Source organism: Homo sapiens, chromosome 9, assembly GCF_000001405.40.
Source record: "Homo sapiens chromosome 9, GRCh38.p14 Primary Assembly".
Taxonomy (NCBI): Eukaryota; Metazoa; Chordata; class Mammalia; order Primates; family Hominidae; genus Homo; species Homo sapiens.
In genome coordinates this window covers 28,619,268-28,640,731 of record NC_000009.12, presented here as the reverse complement: position 1 = coordinate 28,640,731, position 21,464 = coordinate 28,619,268, and the positions used below count along the sequence as shown (strand labels likewise).

The following is a 21,464-nucleotide window of genomic DNA, read 5'->3' as shown; positions in this document are numbered from 1 at the left end:
ATTAGACGAATCGCTAACTAGAATAACCAATGCAGAGAAGTCCTTAAAGGACCTGATGGAGCTGAAAACCATGGCACGAGAACTACGTGACGAATGCACAAGCCTCAGTAGCCGATTCGATCAACTGGAAGAAAGGGTATCAATGATGGAAGATCAAATGAATGAAATAAAGTGAGAAGAGAAGTTTAGAGAAAAAACAATTAAAAAAAAAAAAAAGAACAAGGCCTCCAAGAAATATGGGACTGTGTGAAAAGACCAAATCTACATATGATTGGTGTACCTGAAAGTAACGGGGAGAATGGAACCAAGTTGGAAAACACTCTGCAGGATATTATCCAGGAGAAATTCCCCAATCTAGCAAGGCAGGCCAACATTCAACTTAAGGAAATACAAAGAACGCCACAAAGATACTCCTCGAGAAGAGCAACTCCAAGACACATAATTGTCAGATTCACCAAAGTTGAAATGAAGGAAAAAATGTTACGGGCAGCCACAGAGAAAGGTCGGGTTACCCACAAAGGAAAGTCCATCAGACTAACAGCTGATCTCTTGGCAGAAACTCTACAAGCCAGAAGAGAGTGGGGGCCACTAGTCAACATTCTTAAAGAAAAGAATTTTCAACCCAGAATTTCATATCCAGCCAAACTAAGCTTCATAAGTGAAGGAGAAATAAAATCCTTTACAGACAAGCAAATGCTGAGAGATTTTGTCACCACCAGGCCTGCCCTACAAGAGCTCCTGAAGGAAGCACTAAACATGGAAAGGAACAACCGGTACCAGCCACTGCAAAAACATGCCAAATTGTAAAGACCATCAAGGCTAGGAAGAAACTGCATCAACTAACGAGCAAAATAACCAGCTAACATCATAATGACAGGATCAAATTCACACATAACCATATTAACCTTAAATGTAAATAGGCTAAATGCTCCAATTAAAAGACACAGACTGGCAAATTGGATAAACAGTCAAGACCCATCAGTGTGCTATATTCAGGAGACCCACCTCACATGCAGAGACACACATAGGCTCAAAATAAAGGGATGGAGGAAGATCTACCAAGCAAATGGAAAACAAAAGAAGGCAGGGGTTGCAATCCTAGTCTCTGATAAAACAGACTTTAAACCAACAAAGATCAAAAGAGACAAAGAAGGCCATTACATAATGGTAAAGGGATCAGTTCAACAAGAAGAGCTAACTATCCTAAATATATATGCACCCAGCACAGGAGCACCCAGATTCATAAAGCAAGTCCTTAGAGACCTACAAAGAGACTTAGACTCCCACACAATAATAATGGGAGACTTTAACACCCCACTGTCAACATTAGACAGATCAATGAGACAGAAAGTTAACAAGGATACCCAGGAATTGAACTCAGCTCTACACCAAGCGCACCTAATAGACATCTACAGAACTCTCCACCCCAAATCAACAGAATATACATTCTTCTCAGTACCACACCACACCTATTCCAAAATTGACCACATAGTTGGAAGTAAAGCACTGCTCAGCAAATGTAAAAGAACAGAAATTATAACAAACTGTCTCTCAGACCACAGTGCAATGAAACTAGAACTCAGGATTAAGAAACTCACTCAAAACCGCTCAACTACATGGAAACTGAACAACCTGCTCCTGAGTGGCTACTGGGTACATAATGAAATGAAGGCAGAAATAAAGATGTTCTTTGAAACCAACGAGAACAAAGACACAACATACCAGAATCTCTGGGACACATTTAAAGCAGTGTGCAGAAGGAAATTTATAGCACTAAATGCCCACAAGAGAAAGCAGGAAAGAGCTAAAATTGACACCTTAACATCACAATTCAAAGAACTAGAGAAGCAAGAGCAAACACATTCAAAAGCTAGCAGAAGGCAAGAAATAACTAAGATCAGAGCAGAACTGAAGGAAATAGAGATACAAAAAACCCTTCAAAAAATCAATGAATCCAGGAGCTGGTTTTTTGAAAAGAGCAACAAAATTGATAGACTGCTAGCAAGACTAATAAAGAAGAAAAGAGTGAAGGATCAAATAGATGCAATAAGAAATGATAAAGGGGATATCACCGCCGATCCCACAGAAATACAAACTACCATCAGAGAATACTATAAACACCTCTACGCAAATATACTAGAAAAGCTAGAAGAAATGGGTAAATTCCTCGACACATACCCCCTCCCAAGACTAAACCAGGAAGCAGTTGAATCTCTGAATAGACCAATAACAGGCTCTGAAATTGTGGCAATAATTAATAGCTTATCAACTAAAAAAAGTCCAGGACCAGACGGATTCACAGTGAAATTCTACCAGAGGTACAAGGAGGAGCTGGTACCATTCCTTCTGAAACTATTCCAATCAATATAAAAATAGGGAAACCTCCCTAACTCATTTTATGAGGCCAGCATCATCCTGATAACAAAGCGTGACAGGGACACAACAAAAAAAGAGAATTTTAGACCAATATCCCTGATGAACATCGATGCAGAAATCCTCAATTAAATACTGGCAAAAAGAATCCAGCAGCACATCAAAACTTATCCACCATAATCCAGTGGGCTTCATCCCTGGGATGCAAGGCTGGTTCAACATATGCAAATCAATAAACGTAATCCAGTATATATACAGAACCAACGACAAAAGCCACGTGATTATCTCAATAGATGCAGAAAAGGCCTTTGACAAAATTCAACAACCTTCATGCTAAAAACTCTCAATAAATTAGTTATTGATGGGTTGTATCTCAAAATAATTAGAGCTATCTATGACAAACCCACAGCCAATATCATATTGAATGGGCAAAAACTGGAAACATTCCCTTTGAAAACTGGCACAAGACAGGGATGCTCTCTCTCACCATTCCTTTTCAACATAGTGTTGGAAGTTCTGGCCAGGGCAATCAGGCAGCAGAAAGAAATAAAGGGTATTCAATTAGGAAAAGAGGAAGTCAAATTGTCCCTGTTTGCAGATGACTTGATTGTATATCTAGAAAACCCCATTGTCTCAGCCCAAAATCTCCTTAAGCTGATAAGCAACTTCAGCAAAGTCTCAGGATTCAAAATCAATGTGCAAAAATCACAAGCATTCTTATACACCAATAACAGATAAACAGAGAACCAAATCATGAGTGAACTCCCATTCACAATTGCTTCAAAGAGAATAAAATACTTAGGAATCCAACTTACAAGTGATGTGAAGGACCTCTTCAAGGAGAATTACAAAACACTGCTCAACGAAATAAAAGAGGATACAAAGAAATGGAAGAACATTCCATGCTCATGGATAGGAAGAATTAATATCATGAAAATGGCCATACTTCCCAAGGTAATTTATAGATTCAATGCCATCCCCATCAAGTTATCAATGACTTTTTTCACAGAATTGGCAAAACTACTTTAAAGTTCATATGCAACCAAAAAAGAGCCCGCATCGCCAAGTCAATCCTAAGCCAAAAGAACAAAGCTGGAGGCATCACGCTACCTGATTTCAAACTATACTACAAGGCTACAGTAACCAAAACAGGATGGTACTGGTACCAAAACAGAGATATAGACCAATGGAACAGAACAGAGCCCTGAAAAATAATGCCACATATCTACAACCATCTGATCTTTGACAAACCTGACAAAAACAAGAAATGGGGAAAGGATTGCCTATTTAATAAATGGTGCTGGGAAAACTGGCTAGCCATATGTAGAAAGCTGAAACTGGATCCCTTCCTTACACCTTATACAAATATTAATTCAAGATGGATTAAAGACTTAAATGTTAGACCTAAAACCATAAAAACCCTAGAAGAAAACCTAAGGAATACCATTCAGGACATAGGCATGGGCAAGGACCTCATGTCTAAAACACCAAAAGCAGTGGCAACAAAAGCCAAAATTGATAAATGGGATCTAATTAAACTACAGAGCTTCTGCACAGCAAAAGAAACTAACATCAGAGTGAACAGGCAACCTACAGAATGGGAGAAAATTTTCGCAATCTACTCATCTGACAAAGCACTAATATCCAGAATCTACAAAGAAGTCAAACAAATTTATAAGAAAAAAACAACCCCATCAACAAGTGGGCAAAGGATATGAACAGACACTTCTCAAAAGAAGACATTTATGCAGCCAACAGACACAATGAAAATATGCTTATCCTCACTGGCCATCAGAGAAATGCAAATCAAAACCACAATGAGATACCATCTCACACCAGTTAGAATGGCAATCATTAAAAAGTCAGGCAACAACAGGTGCTGGAGACGATGTGGAGAAACAGGAACACTTTTACACTGTTGGTGGGACTATAAACTAGTTCAACCATTGTGGAAGTCAGTGTGGCGATTCCTCCGGGATCTAGAACTAGAAATACCATTTGTCCCCGCCATCCCATTACTGGGTATATACCCAAAGGATTATAAAACATGCTGCTATAAAGACATATGCACACGTATGTTTATTGTGGCACTATTCACAATAGCAAAGACTTGAAACCAACCCAAATGTCCATCAACGATAGACTGGATTAAGAAAATGTGGCATATATACACCATGGATACTACGCAGCCATAAAAAATAATGAGTTCATGTCCTTTGTAGGGACATGGATGAAGCTGGAAATCATCATTCTGAGCAAACCATCACGAGGACAGAAAACCAAAGACTGCATGTTCTCACTCATAGGTGGGAAGTGAACAATGAGAACACTTGGACACAGGAAGGGGAACATCACACACTGGGGCCTGTTGTGGGGTGGGGAGAGTGGGGAGGGATAGCATTAGGAGATATATCTAATGTTAAATGACGAGTTACTGGGTGCTACACACCAACATGGCACATGTATACATATTTAACAAACCTGTACGTTGTGCACATGTACCCTAAAACTTAAAGTATAATAAAACAAACAAACAGACAAACAAAAAACCTCTGAACTCTTTTTTAAAGAGAATCATCTGAATTGGATCATATTAAAACTAATATATGTTGGTGTCTTATTTTATGGTTCTGTTACATTTATCCCTATGAAATAATTTTTTGTCATAATATTTTTTTACTTTTACTTATGACTTTTAAACCCAAATTAAACCTTATTTAGTAATTAATTATAAATAAATTTCATAATATGAATTCCAGATGTTGATAGCTTCTGTCTTGTTTTAACCTCCATGTGCTGATTCCCCCATCTCTTCCTCTTCTTTTCAAAATACCACATCTAAAATGTTATTTTCCCTGTCTCCTGTTTCCCCCTGTTCTCTGAATACTCTCTACACTTTTCCATGCCATTTTCTTTAATTTCACTGTATCTTATAAGTTAAGCTAACTTTTACTACTGTCATCATGATACCACCCATCATTAAATTTTTATATCAAATATCATATTGTTTCAGGGCAACTTCTTAATATCACAGTTAGGGTAGAAGTCTACCTCCTTTGTGCTTCCTTATCATATTTGTCTTTCTAATGTTACTCACTGCATTTTGCCATTAATTACAGCTACTCTAATAAAAAGGCTCTTTTGGTTATAAGTGACAGTTAATCCAACAGGTGTAGAATAAGAACAGCAAAATTTATATATTGGATGCACAACTGAAAGTTTCAAGAGTGAATGAGTCCAGATTCTCCAAAATGTCATCAAGAAGCTATTTCTTATCATCATATTTTGCTTTGCTTTTCTAGTGCTGGTTCCTTTGTGAGGCATGCTCTTCCTTCTGGGTGTTCCATCTGTACCTCCAGGCTTACAGCCACACATGGTAATTTCCCATCTCTAATGTTTCAACTAGAATCTCAGAATTATTATCTCTCCTTGTGGTACAGCACACATCGTAAACCTTTTATTGGGGCAAAAGGGTTGAAAAGAGTGATTTTTCTATTCACAGACTCTGTGTTTGTTCCAGAAGTCAGAGGAAAAGATTAACTCCTCCCATGTTACTTTGGTTGAAAGTAGGGAGGCCGGGTGCGGTGGCTCATGCCTGTAATCCTAGCACTTCGGGAGGCCAAGGTGGGCAGATCACTTGAGGTCAACAGTTTGAGACCAGCCTGGCCAAAATGATGGAACCCCGTTTCTACCAAAAATACAAAAGTTAGCCAGGTGTGCTGACAGACACCTGTAATCCCAGCTACTCGGGAGGCTGAGGCACGAGAATTGCTTGAACTCGGAAGGCGGTGGTTGCAGTGAGCTGAGATTGTGCCACTGCACTCCAGCCTGGGTTACAGAGTGAAACTCCATTTCAAAAAAAAAAAAAAAAAAGAAAAAAAGAAAAGAAAGAAAGTGTGGGGGGAGGGGAGTTGGTTCTAAAGGGACAATCAAGATTCTGTTTCGTAAAGGAAGGATGGGGAAAAGGTATGTTTATATTATATGTAATAAACATAAAAGAGATTGTCTGCATGGACCTCTAGAGAACTTATGCAACTTATAGTAAATTTAAATGCTCATTAGATAGTTACACAACATTCCCTCAGTTGTGTATATAATATTTTAAATGTAAGGAAAATCACTAGCTAGTTTAAGAAAACCAGCGTATTATAAAAACAAGTGGAACATATGTGAGAGTAAATTTCATGGGAACTAGTAAGACCTAAATGTAATTCCATGGGGCTAAAACTGGATTTTGATGTTGTTCTTTGTACATTTGCTTTTATTTAGAGAATAATCTCTGCAGTCACCACTGCCCCTCTCATTTAATTGTGCCTCTTTCTTGTTCTTATCCAGAGCCCTTGGTCTCTGCTTAACAAACCACGCTCTAAGAAAAGGTAGGAGACCTACTCACAGGAAGCTATGACAGAGTAATAGCGGCTTAAAATATGTCCTCTCTTTGGAGTGTGTGCCTATAAAACAAAATCGAAATTTTGAGGCAAAATTCTAAACTATTTACTCATTCAAGAAATATTCATTGACTACGCATTGTGTTCCAGGCTTTGGGGCTGTCAGCTGCCTGGTACTACACTACAAAGAAATTAAGTTCCTAGGTGAGATGTTAGGCTAAGCCAACAGAGAAAAGTGTATTATTAGTTTATTGTTGGAAGGAGCGTCACAGTACTGTGATCCATGTGAAGGTCTCAGTCCTATTAATATAGTAGAGGAAGTAGGGCAGGCCTGTCATGAACATCTCAATTTTTCAAATGAATGTGGTTTTTGTTTGTTTGTTTGCTTATTAAAGTACATGTTACTGAAAAGACACATAAATTATTTAAGTGCAATTTGAGAGCTTTTACCTCAAAATCACCTAATTTCTTTAATTATTAATGTCTCTTTTATGTAAAACCTCTTCTTATAATGTGTGAATTTATTATTTTTGCTTATTTTTTTGGAAATTTATTCAGCACACCACATATATCTGGAGCTAGGGCTTTACACTTGCATCTCGGTTTCACCTTTCATTTCTGGAAAAGGTATTCTCTGGAATAAAGGCAGCTTCTCTTTCCCCTTCTGTGATAGTTAATACTGAGTGTCAACTTGACTGAATTGAGGGATACAAAGTATTAATCCTGAGTGTGTCTGTATGGGTATCGCCAAAAGTGATTCACATTTGAGTCAGTGGGCTGGGGAAGGCAGATCCACCCTTAATCTGGTGGGCACAATCTAGTCAGCTTCCAGAGAATAAAAAGCAGGCAGAAAAACATGAAAAGGAGAGAGATGGGCCTAGCCTCCTAGTCTACATCTTTCTCCTATGCTGGATGCTTCCTGCCCTTGAACACTGGACTCCACATTCTTCAGTTTTGTGACTTGGGCTGGCTCTCGGGCTGGCTGTCCTTGTTCCTCAGCTTGCAGACAACCTATTTTGGGACCTTGTGAGCATATAAGTTAATACCTAATCAACTCCTCTCTCTCTCTCTCTCTCTCTCTCTCTCTCTACATATATATATATATATATATATAAAAAATATATATAGATTTATATATATAATATATAATATATATAGATCATCTATATAAATCTATATAATATAAATCGATATATAATATATAAATCTATATATATAGATCTATATATAAATATATAGATCTATATATAGATCTATATATAAATATATAGATCTATATAAATATATTTTTATATAGATATTTTATATAGATAAAATATCTATGTAAATATATATAAAAATATATAAATATATAGATAATATATTTATCTACATATTTACATATATCGACATATATAGTATATCGAGATATATATTATATATTGAGATATATGTTATATATTATATATCGAGAGAGAGAGAATTAGTTCTGTCTCTCTAAGAGAACCCTGACTAATCCACCTGAAAACCCCCGTTTTTGCTTATTTTATGAATATCCTCTTGTTCTTTCTCTCATCTGGATAGTGTGAGACTGGGTAGGTATAACCTTGGAACCCACTCTTTGGCTTCTCCCTACAAGCCAATAGTTGCAGTTTCCCTGCCCACAGGATATGTGTGTTTGTGTGTGGTCATAAAGTCAAGGCTTTTCCTTTCCATTTTTATATTTGATTGCTCTCTCCCACTTTAACGTATGCAATTCTGTCTTCATTATAGATTCTTAACACTTCCTTGAGTTTGCCATGTGATTAAATATCAACTATGCATTGAACGTGTTTGCTCTTCTACTTCTTCCCCACTTGATTAACTCCTATTAAGACACCAGTCACACTCCACTATGTGTCACCTTCTGCCTATCTCTAAAGATAGCCATTTTCTGCACTCCCTCCTGCAACACTGGATGTTGACATCTATTTGCCACCCTTGGCTCTAACTAAATCTGTTTACCAAACCTATGATCTTTAGGAATGTATAGACTCTGTCTTATTATCAGTTTATTTTCAACAATTAAAAATTGCCTGGTTCATAGTAGCTTAACACATATTTGTTGGATGGATTAATTCATAGGACCAAAAGGTTCTATTTCATGTGATACCACCAGTTTATTAACAGGTGCCTGGAGAACTGCCTCAAGAGGGATCATGAATTTGAGTCTGAATGAAGTCCCAAATTTCACTGTCCTCCACAAGTGAGGACTGTCATAGGTATAAGGCGGCACTTGGGGAGACAGCAACATATGTGCTTCTGTTTGCCATCTGTACCTAAGGACTCCTCAAGCAATAAAATATTAACGTTCTCTCTTCCTATTAAAGTTTCATACACTTTCCCCAATATTACGACCCTTATTTCCCAAGAAAATAGGTTTCTCTAATACCACACATCTACAACCATCTTTGACAAACCTGACAAAAACAAGAAGTGGGGAAAGGATTCCCTATTTAATAAATAGTGCTGGGAAAAGTGGCTAGCCATATGTAGAAAGCTGAAACTGGATCCCTTTCTTACACCTTATACAAAAATTAATTCAAGACAGATTAAAGACTTAAATGTTAGACCTAAAACCATAGAACACATGGACACAGGAAGGGGAACATCACACACCGGAGCCTGTCATGGGGTGGGGGTGGGGGGAGGTATGGCATTGGGGGATATACCTAATGTAAATGATGAGTTAATGGGTTCAGCACACCAACATGGCACATGTATACATATGTAACAAACCTGCACCTTGTGCACATGTACCCTAGAACTTAAAGTATAATAAAAAAATAAATAAATAAATAAAGTGATAAAGCAATAAATAAATAAATAAATGTAGCATTGATCCTTGGAGTACTGGTATTTCATTTATAATTTTTTTAATATTTAAATAATTATAGATTTACATACTGTTGCAAAAATAATATGGAATGGTTCCTTATAATCTTGCCCAGTTTTCTCCAATGGTAACATCTTTTCTAATTACAGTATAATATCAACACTAGTAATGCATTTAAAGGGGGTGAATATTTTATGCTCTCCATGGGGCTACTTTTTTTTTTTTCTTTATGTGCACAAAGATCTTATGAATAGAGGCTGTTTTGATTCTGAGGGTTACTAAAAATAGTCTGCATACTCTCAGTAGAGTGTTAAACTAAGTATTAGCTGTAGATTCTACAGATTTGTAGATATAAATATTATGTAAGGTTGAATTTTGGTGCTTATAACCATTTGATTAACTAATAATGCCATTCAAATATCTTTGCAAGCCTCATCTCTGCATTCCTGGCCATTGACTAGTGGGTCAAGGTTAGTTTTGATAGCATTAGAAGCCTCCCTGTATGAAAGTAGACCAGACAAATGTGTGTTGTTAGTCTGATAGATACTAATTCTGTTTACTGGGAATTTCCTTGTTCAGAAGCTTGAGTTGTATCATGTCTGTCATTTTCATAAATTAGGAAAAATATAGGCTTTGTATATAAACCTCTGAAGAAAAACTCAACAGTGACAAAAAGTGAAATTGTTCTTAAACTGATCAATTTCTTGAGTGTTTATGTCAAGTTAGGACTAATTAGTTAGGACTAATTAGCAGTATTAATAATAGAAAAAAAGATGAGCCAATTAGAATATAGTTACAACATACAACGTATGCTATAATCCTGAAAAGACATGTGACTGATGATGCATTCATTTGAATACTGAAACTTTTTTTTTTCTTTTTGATTTTTTTGTATTTATTTTTTTATTATACTTTAAGTTTTAGGGTACATGTGCACATTGTGCAAGTTAGTTACATATGTATACATGTGCCATGCTGGTGCACTGCACCCACTAACTCGTCATCTAGCATGAAGAGTTCATGTCCTTTGTAGGGACATGGATGAAATTGGAAATCATCATTCTCAGTAAACTATCCCAAGAACAAAAACCAAACACCGCATATTCTCACTCATAGGTGGGAATTGAACAATGAGATCACATGGACACAGGAAGGGGAATATCACACTCTGGGGACTGTTGTGGGGTCGGGGGATGGGGGAGGGATAGCATCGGGAGATATACCTAATGCTAGATGAAACTTTTTAAGTTAGTAGAAAATGTCATGTCAATTCTGACCCTCATGCATTTTTTCATACTTCTTCCCCAGGAAGGTTTTCATGTTATTACTTTTCTGAACCCATTTATATGCCTTTTATCTTAGTTTTCTTTAAAGTATCCTTAGTTTTATATTGTACTCTAGTTCTACCATCTGCCAGATGGAAAGCATTCTGAAAATGCAGTCTATATTTTATACATTATTGTATTCTAACCCAGCAAGCTGTATTTTCAGATGTGGGCTCTGTGCTTGATGAATGATATAGAATTTAATTTCTCATTTTTAGTATGTATTTGGCTATAAATGAAAATAACATAAAAAGTGTTCATATCCAAATTCAAAGATGGGCAAAACATATATGTACCATGAAGAGAATTTACTTCCTTTCTCCTAAGAGAAAGGGAAATTTTTAAATATGCTAACATTAAGTTTTTGGGGGAAACAAGAGGATCGTAAAGAAAAGGGAAGAAGAAAGGAATTTCTAGTCTTTCATTCTTCTGCTCCAGTGATGGACACAAACTTACCAAAGAATACATTTAAGTAGCTCAGCACAGTTTATAATACATTCTCTGTGCCCTGGAAATTGTCCAGTGGCTCCCATCTATTTTCCAGATAGCTTCAGAATTGATTAGGATTTGAGCAGGAGCGGCACATCACCCATCTGCTCCTGTATCAGCTTGGTTTCCTGTTTCTTGACATTAGCATTGCCACCCATACTCCAACCCTGAAGCTTCTCATGGTCTCATACTAGTTCAGTTTCATGCCTACTTGGATGGTTCTTGTGGAAGTAAGACAGAGTACACATAAAACATTAATGTAATGCCCACCACATAATAAATGTTCAATAAATGCATAAATGCTACTCATTGTATAAAATAAGATAATGGACCTATGCTTTTACGAATGGTAAACTACTTGGGCTCTGGGTATCTCCAGAGATTCATCCACTAATCTTAGGAGCTGGTTAAGTATTACACACTAGCACTTATGAAAAGAGGCATTAGCTGATAACACACTTTCAGCTATTAGTACAAAATCATTACATTACCGGAGGCTCATCATTGCTGAGGAAGCTAATTGAAGGAAATAATTTTATTGAGACAAACTTTATTGTACAGAAATAAAACATTGTGCTTAGTTTATGAAAGCAGAAATCAAGAGACTAGGTACCAAGGGGATAAAGTGGGTAACATCAATCCCTGACACATCCATTTGTTATCATTCTGTCATTAAATACCACTCACACATCAAACAAATACAGGTGTTTTGAATTCCTATCTCCCTCTTGCCCCCAAAATAAAAGCCTTGGAAAATCAGTTACACTATAGGACAGGAAATATGAGTTTGCAAAGTATAAAGTACTGAGGAACCTTCTCTGTAAATCAGCACACTATACGCACCCGGCATAGTGCACAGAACTGAAATACAAACTGCCAATGTTTTTTCTCTGCAAGTAGCATTTGTTTTACTGTTATGTGAATTTATTGTCTGCAAACTCTGACACAGCCTCAGAAACTGAACTCCTGTATTTATCCATAGAAGAACATGGTGATAATCTTAACCCTGTCTTCAAAGATATATTATATGCAGCTTTCTACAAAAGGAAGGAAATGTATTACTTTTTCTATGCTAGTTAAGCTTGGATCTTCCTGGTCCATAAAATGTCAGTAGCTGTGAATTGTACTGAAATCTGCTGCATGGTTTTGAGATGATTCTTCTGTACACTGGGGATTTGGCTTTGAAGACAACGTTCTTTTTTCTGCTTGGGTGACCAGCCTGCATTTTTCATAACTCCACAAATAAAAACTATGCTACAGCCATGAAGAATGGTATTATTGAGATAGAAACAGAGAGCAGACAATAATGATTTTGACCACACAAGTAAGCATAGGTAAAAACTTTTTTCTTTCTGCCATAGTTATATAAAAATTTAAAATATAGCTCTCCAAGGTCAAAATTTCTAATGCCTAATAACAACAGGGAAAATAAAATGCTTGGTATTTTATCTCATTAGCTTGTACTATCATCTTTACTTTGGGAAAAGATGCAGAATGACCAATGGATTATTATGTGCATATTTTTAATTACACAATTATTTTTATGCACATTATAGACAATTTTGAAAAAAGAGACTTATATAAAATATAATTAAGAACTCTCAGTTTGTGTAACTGAAACTAGACTTGTTTTCCCTACCTTAAACAGCCAGAAAACTTGTCAAAATATATGACACATTTGATTTCTGACATTAAACAATAAGCAACACAAGATGGTGATTTAGAAGAGAATGGAAATAAGATGAGACCTATAGTGATCTTGGCTTTCTGTCTGGAGGCATTTTCCATATTTTAGTGCAGAAAAGGGGACCATTAGGAGATCAGTTGAGAAAACAGACATTGAAGCATAGGAAGGTAAGTCAGGTAGAATTTGCAGAGCAGATGGTAAGTAAGGAAAGAACTCCCAAAATCTACATAGGGGTCCCTGGACTTTGTTGCCAGAAAGTAAACTATGGAGAATTCTATACAATATTATTTGTCTATTGGAGGTCTATTGGAGAGCTGTAAGGTACATAATCACTGAGTCTGCTCAACATTAAAACGTATTATATCTCTGTCCAATCAGAATAGAGAGACCTTCATAAATACCTGGAACATCTTGTAGAAAGTACAGAAATGTTTCATCTTTGCATCAGAGCTAAACAATCCCTAGAGTAAGGGCTACACCTACGTCAGCCTTGAAAAGATAAAATTTATCCAAAATTTATTAATTGCCTATCAGAACAAAGTTCAGTACTTAAAAAAATACACAAACTCAAAAACAACCGTTAAAAAAAATTACTAGAAATAAAAAAAGCAGGAAAATGTGATGTAGCCCAGGAGAAATGCATCAGCTAATAAAAAAGATTCAGAAATGACAGATATTATTAGATTAGCAAACAAAGGCTGTAAAATGGCTACTATAAACATGCTCAATATTTTTTTCAAAGCATGAAAATAATGAAGAGATAATGGAAGACACACACACACACACACAATAGAATTTTTAGAGCTGAAAAAAACATTTACTAGGTGGGATATAGATCAGAGAAAACAATGTAGAAAAAAACAATCAGTGAAGCTGAATAAATGCCACTAGGAACTATCTAAATTGGAGAACAGAGAGAGAAAAAACGTTGAAAAGATAGTGTGGTGTTGGCATGACACCCATACAGAAATAGTCATTGATTATTGACAAAGGTGCCAAAATGTTTCATTAAGAAGGAAAGTTTTTGAACAAATGATGCTTAAACTAGGTATCTGTATAAAAGAATGAACCTCAAACTTTAATTTGTACTACTAACAAAAATTAAAGTGGATATAAGAGAAAAATCTTTATGAGTGGGGAGTGGACAAAGATATTTTAGACAGTTTTCAAAGCACAAATCATGAAGGAAACATATTGACACATTGGACTTTATTAAAAGTAAACATTTTTTTCCTTAAAGAATACTTTATTAATGAAATGAAAATGCAAACCCCAAATTGGAAAAAATTACAATACTTATCTCCAGAATATATAAAGGACATTTACAACTCAACAATATGAAGACAAATAGCCCAATTTAAGAAAATGTGTAAAATATTTGGATATTCATTTCATACAAAAAGTGATAATGGCTAACAAGCACATGAAAAGGTACTCAACATATTAGTCATCAGGGCAGTGAGAGTTAAAGACAGTGAGATAAAACTGTGCAACAACTAAAATGGTTACAATTTAAAAGAATGAGAATACAAATTTTGGCATTTGTGAAGCAAGCGGAATTCTCAAATGTTGCCACCACTTTGAAGACAATTTGTAGTTTTTTTTGTTTTGTTTTGTTTTGTTTTAGTAAAGTCAAACATACACACTTGTAAATAATTTTCCTATTCGGTATTTACCCAAGAAAACTCAAAGTGTATGTCTTCACAAATACTTGTGTAGATATATATTTTTTAAGATTAAATTATATCTTTCAAATGAAAAAACACAAAGTTCAAAAGCTAAATGTTAGAGAAAGCTATACGATGCAAACAGTGACTAAGAGAGACTAGAATAACTACATTAATATCTTTCTTTATAATTTTCAAAAACTGGAAACAACCCAAATGTTCAGGAATAAATAAATGAACAAATTTTAGTATAACCATAATGAAATACTACTTAACAATAAAAAGGAAAAAAATGGGCATACCTCATTTTACTGTGCTTTACAAATATTACTTTTTTATATAAATTAAATTTCATTTAGAGAACATACTCATAGAGATGTGGAGCAAGATGGCCAAACAGAAGCCTCAACCAATAATTCCCCCTGCAGGAACACCAAAATTTAAGAACTATGTACACACAAAAAAGTACCATCATAGCAACCAAAAATCAGGTGAGCAATCATAGTAACTGGTTTAATGCCACATCACTGAAAGAGACATTGAAGAGTGTAGCAAAGACAGTCTTGAACTGCCTATGTCACCTCTCCCCCATCTCCTGGCAGTGGCCACATGGCTTGGAGAGAGAATCTGTGCACTTGGGAGAGGGAGAACACAGTGACTTAGGGACTTGGCATTGAACTCAGTGCTATCCTGTCACGCAGAAAGTAAAGCTATGCTGGGTTTGGCTGGCACTCATCTACAGAAGGAGCATTTGGACCAGCCCTAACCAAGAGGGAATAACCTATCTCAATGGTCAGAACTTGAGCTTTGGCAAGCCTCACCACCACAAGCTAAAGGGCTCTGGGGTCCTAGATACACTTGAAAGGAAGTCTAGAACACAAGGTCTGAAATTCCTAGGCAACTTCTAGTGCTGGGCTGGTCTTCGAGCCAGGGGACTAGGATGGCATGTGATCTAGGGAGACACCAGCTGGGGTGGATAAAGGAGTGCTTGTCCAACCTCTCCCTTAACCCCAGGCAATGCAGCTGGCAGCAACAAAAGTAACTCCTTCCTTCTGCTTGAGGAGAGGAGAGTGAACAGTAAAGAATGCTTTGTCTTACACTGGATATCAGCTCAGCCACAGTAGAGTAAGGGCACCAGACAAGCCATAAGGACCCCATTCTAGGCCCTAGTTCCCAGATGACATTTCTAGACTAATACCAATCCTACTCAAACTATTTCAAAAAAAAGTAGAGGTGGAGAGAATACTTCTAAAACTCATTCTACAAGGCCAATACTACCCTGATACCAAAAACAGGAAAAGACACATTAAAAAAAAAGAAAACTACAGGCTAATATCTCTGATGAATATCAATGAAAAAATCCTCGATAAAATACTAAGCAAACCAAATTCAACAATACTTTTAAAAAGATCATTTACCATGACCAAGTGGGATTTACTCAAGGTATGCAAGGATGTCTTAACATACGCAAATCAATCAATATGGACTATCATATAAACAGAATGAAGGACAAAAAGCATATGATCAATTAATGCTGAACACTCATTTGATAAAATTCAACATTTCTTCTTGATAAAATCCGCCCAAAACTAGATATAGAAAAAACACACCCCAATATAAAAAAAAGCTGTACATGACAGATGCACAGCTAGTATCATACTGAATGGGTAAAAACTAAAAGCTTTTCCTCTAAGATCAGAAATACAACAAGGATACCCATTTCACTACTGTTTTTCAACATAATACTAGAATTCCTAGCTAGATCAATCAGGCAAGAGAAAGAAATAAAGGACATTCAAATTGGAAAGGGAGAAGTCAAATTATCCTTGTTTGTAGATAATATGAGCTTATATTTAGAAAAATCTAAAGACTCTAACAAAAAATATTAGAACTGGAAAACAAATTCAGGAAAGTTGCAAGATACAAATCAACCTACAAAGCAGTAGCATTTCTATTTGCCAACAATGAACAATGTGAAAAAGAAATTTAATAAGTAATCCCCATACATAAAATTAAAGACCTAGAAATTAATCAAAGAAGTGAAAGATTTTTACAATGAAAACTATAAAACACTGATGAAAGAAATTGAAGAGGATACAAAAAATGGAATGATTTTCCACGTTCATAGATTGGAAGAATGAATGTTGTTAAAATGTCCATATTTCTCAAAGCAATCTATACATTCAATGCAATTCCTATCAAAATACCAATGACATTCTTCAAAGAAATAGAAAAAAAAATCCTGAAATTTATATGGAAGCACAAAAGACCCAGAATAGCCAAAGCTATCCTAAGCAAAAAGAACAAAACGGGAGGAATTACAATACCTAACTTTAAATTACACTACAGAGCTATACTAACCAAAACAGCATGGTACTGACATAGAAACAGACACTTAGACCAATAGAACAGAATAGAGAACCCCCAAGAAGAAAATTCACACACCTAAAGTGAACTCGTATTTGACAAAGGTGCCAAGAACATACACTGGGGAAAAGACAGTCTCTTCAATAAATGATGATTGGAAAACTGGATATCCATATGCAGAAGAATGAAATTAGAACCTTATCTCTCTCCATATACAAAAATCAAATCAAAATGGATTAAAACCTTATATTTTAGTTCTCAAATCATGAAAGTATTACATGAAAACTTTGGGGAAACTCTACAGGACATTGGTCTGGGCAAAAATTTCTTCAGTAATACCCCACAAGCACAAACAACAAAAGCAAAAATGGACAAATGGGATCACATCAAGTTAAAAAGCTTCTTCACAAAAAAGGAATCAATCAACAAAGTGAAGAGACAGCCCACAGAGTGGGATAAAATATTTGCAAACTACGCATCTGAAAAGGGATTAATAACCAGAATATACAAGGAGCAAAAACAACTCTGTAGGAAAAAAATCTAATAATCTAATTTAAAAATGGGCAAAAGATTTGAATAGACATTTCTCAAAATAAGACATACAAATGGCAAGCAGACCTATAATAAGGTGCTTGACATCATCTATCATCAGAGAAATACAAATCAATACTGCAATGAGATATCATCTCACCCCAGTTAAAATGGCATATATACAAATGACAGGCAATAATCAATGCTGATGAGGATGTGGAGAAAAGGAAACATTTGTATACTGGTGGTGGAAATGTAAATTAGTACAACCACTATGGAGAATAGTTTGGAGCTTCCTCAAAAAACTAAAAAAAAAAAAAAATAGAGCTGCCATATGATCCAGCAATCCCAAAAGAAAGGAAATCTGTATATCTAAGAGATGTCTGCACTCCTGTGTTTGTTGCAGCACTGTTTACAATAGCTAAGATTTGGAAGCAACCTAAGTGTCCATCAACAGATGAATGGATAAAGAAAATGTGGTACATATGCACAATGGAGCACTATTCAGTTACAAATAAATAATGAGATCCAGTCTTTTGCAACAACATACATGGAACTGGAGATCATTATGTTAAGTGAAATAAGCCAGACACAGAAAGACAAACATTGTAAGTTCTCACTTATTTTTGGGAACCAAAAAAATAAAACAAACAATTTTAATATTAATTAAAATTAAAATAAAAAATAAAAACAAGTAAATGGACAGAGAGAGTAGAAGGATGGTTACCAGAGGCTGGGGAGGGTATTGGGGGATTAGGAGGAAGTTGGGATGGTTAATAGGTTCAAAAATTAGTTTGAAAGGATGAATAAGACCTAGTATCTGATAGCACAACTGGGTAACTATAGTCAATAATAGTTTAATTGTAGATTTTAAAATAACTAAAATAATATAACTGGGTTGTTTGTAACACAGTTGAGAGGATGGATACCTCATTTGCTATGATTATTATGCATTTCATGCCTGTATCAAAGTACCTCATGTACCCCATACATATATGCACCTAGTAAGTACCGACAAAAATTAAAAATTAAAAAAGAATAAATTCCTAGTAACGGAATAACTAGGTTTGTGGTAACGCTTGCATGGAGCAAGTCTTGGCACATTTTTTCAGCAGTGTGTGCTCATGCTTGTTTTGTGTCTCAGTGTCAGGTGATCATTAGCATTTTTTAGCAATAAAGTATTTTTAATAAAGGTATATACATTTTTAGACAGAATGCTGTGACACACTTAATATATATACAATATTATAGTGTAAACATAACTTTCATATGCACTGGGAAACAAAAAAATTCCTGTTACTTTATTGCAATATTTGCTTTATTAAGGTGGTCTGGAACAGAATACATAGTATCTTCATAGTATGCCTTTATTAATATGTGCAAAAACACTGATAAATCTCAGAAACTTGCTGAGTTAAAAGACACCATGCCAAAAAACCAATGACATTTATATATCTCAGGAACATTTGGAATAAAATAATCCATATATATGAGTATATTCTATTTATATACAATTCTAGAAAATGTAAAACTAACCTGTGGTGACAGGAAGCAAATCAGTGGTTCTCTTGTGCCAGTTGGGGTATTCTGCTTTCAGGACTATTTCTCGGTGACACACTTGGAGAAAAAGTTCTGTGGAGCTGTTGCAAAGGGGTAGGAGAAAACATTTTGGAAAGACAGAAATGACCTGTATCTTGTTATGGTATGACTCTATATGTCAAATTCATTGAAAATATGACTTACTTAATTATACCTCAAAATTTGACTAAGATAATTAAACCACTCATAATTTTATAGTTAGTGGTAATCATCATTAACACATTATATATTGTTATTCCTATCTATGTACATATATACATTTTTATGTTATATAGTTTAAAATTGTTTTTATGTAGGATGTTTGTTTTGAGCATTGTCGTATTTTCTGCAGCTTTCTTTAGAATAAACTCCTAATAATGGAAGTACTAAACAGATGTAATGTTTGAACTCTTTCAAAGTTTTTGACACATATATCCAAATAAATTTTTAGACATTTCTTGCACTTTACCTTCCACTGGTTTTTATAACTTTGATTTTAAGTTCAGAGGTACAAGTGCAGGCTTGTTACACAGGTAAACTTGTGTCATGGGGGTTTGTTGTACAGATTATTTCATCACCTAGGTATTAAGCCTCGTAACCATTAGTTGTTTTTCCTGATCCTCTCCCTCTTCCCACCCTCCACCCTCCGAAAGGTCCTAGTGTGTGTTGTTCTTCTTTGTGTATCTATGTGTTCTCATCATTTAGCTCCCACTTATAACAGAGAACATGTGGTGTTTGGTTTTCTGTTCATCTGTTAGTTTGCTAAGGATAATGGCCTCCAGTCCCATCCTCTTATATTTTTAACTAAGAATTGCCTAGAACTGGTCATATATATTATCATTTCTGTCTTGGCTCTCTCTGTCCAATAATAGCCCATCTAGCAAACTGAGGTCCCGGCCTTGAAAGGTCACTGATGTATATGACAAACTGTGACTGCTTCCTTAGGTCCTCTTTAGGAACTAAGTATTGTTGCACACATTATTTTCAATATAAATTCCTGTGTCTTATGTATTAGATCTGAGTGATGATCTGTTACAAATGATCTGAAGTATAAAAATGTTTCAAACTGAATGGGGCAAAGAGGATAATGAAATCACATGCTGAACAGTGCTAGCTGGGAAAACTGAATACTTTTTAAAACTATTGTTCAAACTCTTACTTTAACTCTGCTTCTGATGAACACACTTTGTCTAAAACTTAGACAAATAACACAGTTTACTTACCTCTCTTTTCCGGTATTTGAGTCCTAGTCATCTATCTTGCAGCTTGAATCACCTGGGAAGAAAACAATGCAGAGTATTTACCTCAGTTAGGAGAATGCAGCACTTAGGGCTGTTGAAAACTGCAAACTTTCTCTGTGGAAAGACCATTGCTGCAGCTGAATCAAACAATTTGCTCTTTGGGCATTGTAAATAGTGTGGTTACATGGCTGTACATGGACAAACAAGTCTCTGAAGCAGAAACATATTAAAGTTTTTAGAGTGAGTTTAATGGACCATAACAATAATTCAAGTACAAATTTCTCAAGATTCTGGGCAGCATTCTGTGTTTCAGTTTTTGTTGCCAATTTATGGAAACAAGTGCATTTCTTATTCAAGAAACCAACTGCCAAGACCTTTTTAAAAATGATTACTTCACCCCTATAAGCTGTCACTACTTATTAATTTTGGCTTTGTGTTTCAAAGAAATTACTACCACTTACAAAAATAGTGTAGTTGCACATAGCACCAGTGAAACTGAGTATATGAGAAGAAAACCTAGTAGGCAGCATGGCCACACTGGCACCTCCAAGAACAGGGTAAAGAAATACAAGAAAGCCTAAACAACATTGAAATCAGCCTAAGCTCACATATTAACACAAGAACAGAATTCCTGAGCTTTTTTTAGATCTATTTCTCAGTGACACACTTGGAGAAAATGTACTATTAATTGAATATCAGTCACCTGCTAAATCATTGTGCTAAATTAATTACATTCAGTATCTTATTCATCGTTTCCAATAAGTCTGTAAAGAAGTGGCGTAAGAAAATTGAGGCTCAGCATATATAGGTGGTTATCTGAAGCTCATCAGCAAGTGGTAGAAATAACGTATTCCTAGATCTCTTTAAATCCCAAACTGCTTCTTTGTTTTGTCGAATCCTTCTAGTTTATAATTTTCAGGTTTCTTCTGATACATAGGAAAGTTAAATATGGTAGTCTTTAGAA

The 21,464-nt window shown here is 35.6% G+C and overlaps 1 protein-coding gene and 1 long non-coding RNA gene across 15 annotated transcripts in view; one reads left to right on the top strand and one right to left on the bottom strand.

Annotated features, from left to right (window-relative positions):
• Positions 1-20,671, bottom strand: part of LOC105376003 (uncharacterized) — a 36,942-nt gene extending 16,271 nt beyond the window's left edge. The window contains exons 1-2 of the long non-coding RNA XR_929533.4: positions 20,483-20,671; positions 19,218-19,321 (exon numbers count right to left, since the gene is read on the bottom strand). This is a non-coding gene — a long non-coding RNA (uncharacterized LOC105376003). The remainder of the gene's footprint in view (positions 1-19,217; positions 19,322-20,482) is intronic.
• The window catches only part of LINGO2 (leucine rich repeat and Ig domain containing 2), a 1,275,985-nt gene that overhangs the window by 572,870 nt on the left and 681,651 nt on the right, over positions 1-21,464 (top strand). The window lies entirely within an intron of this gene.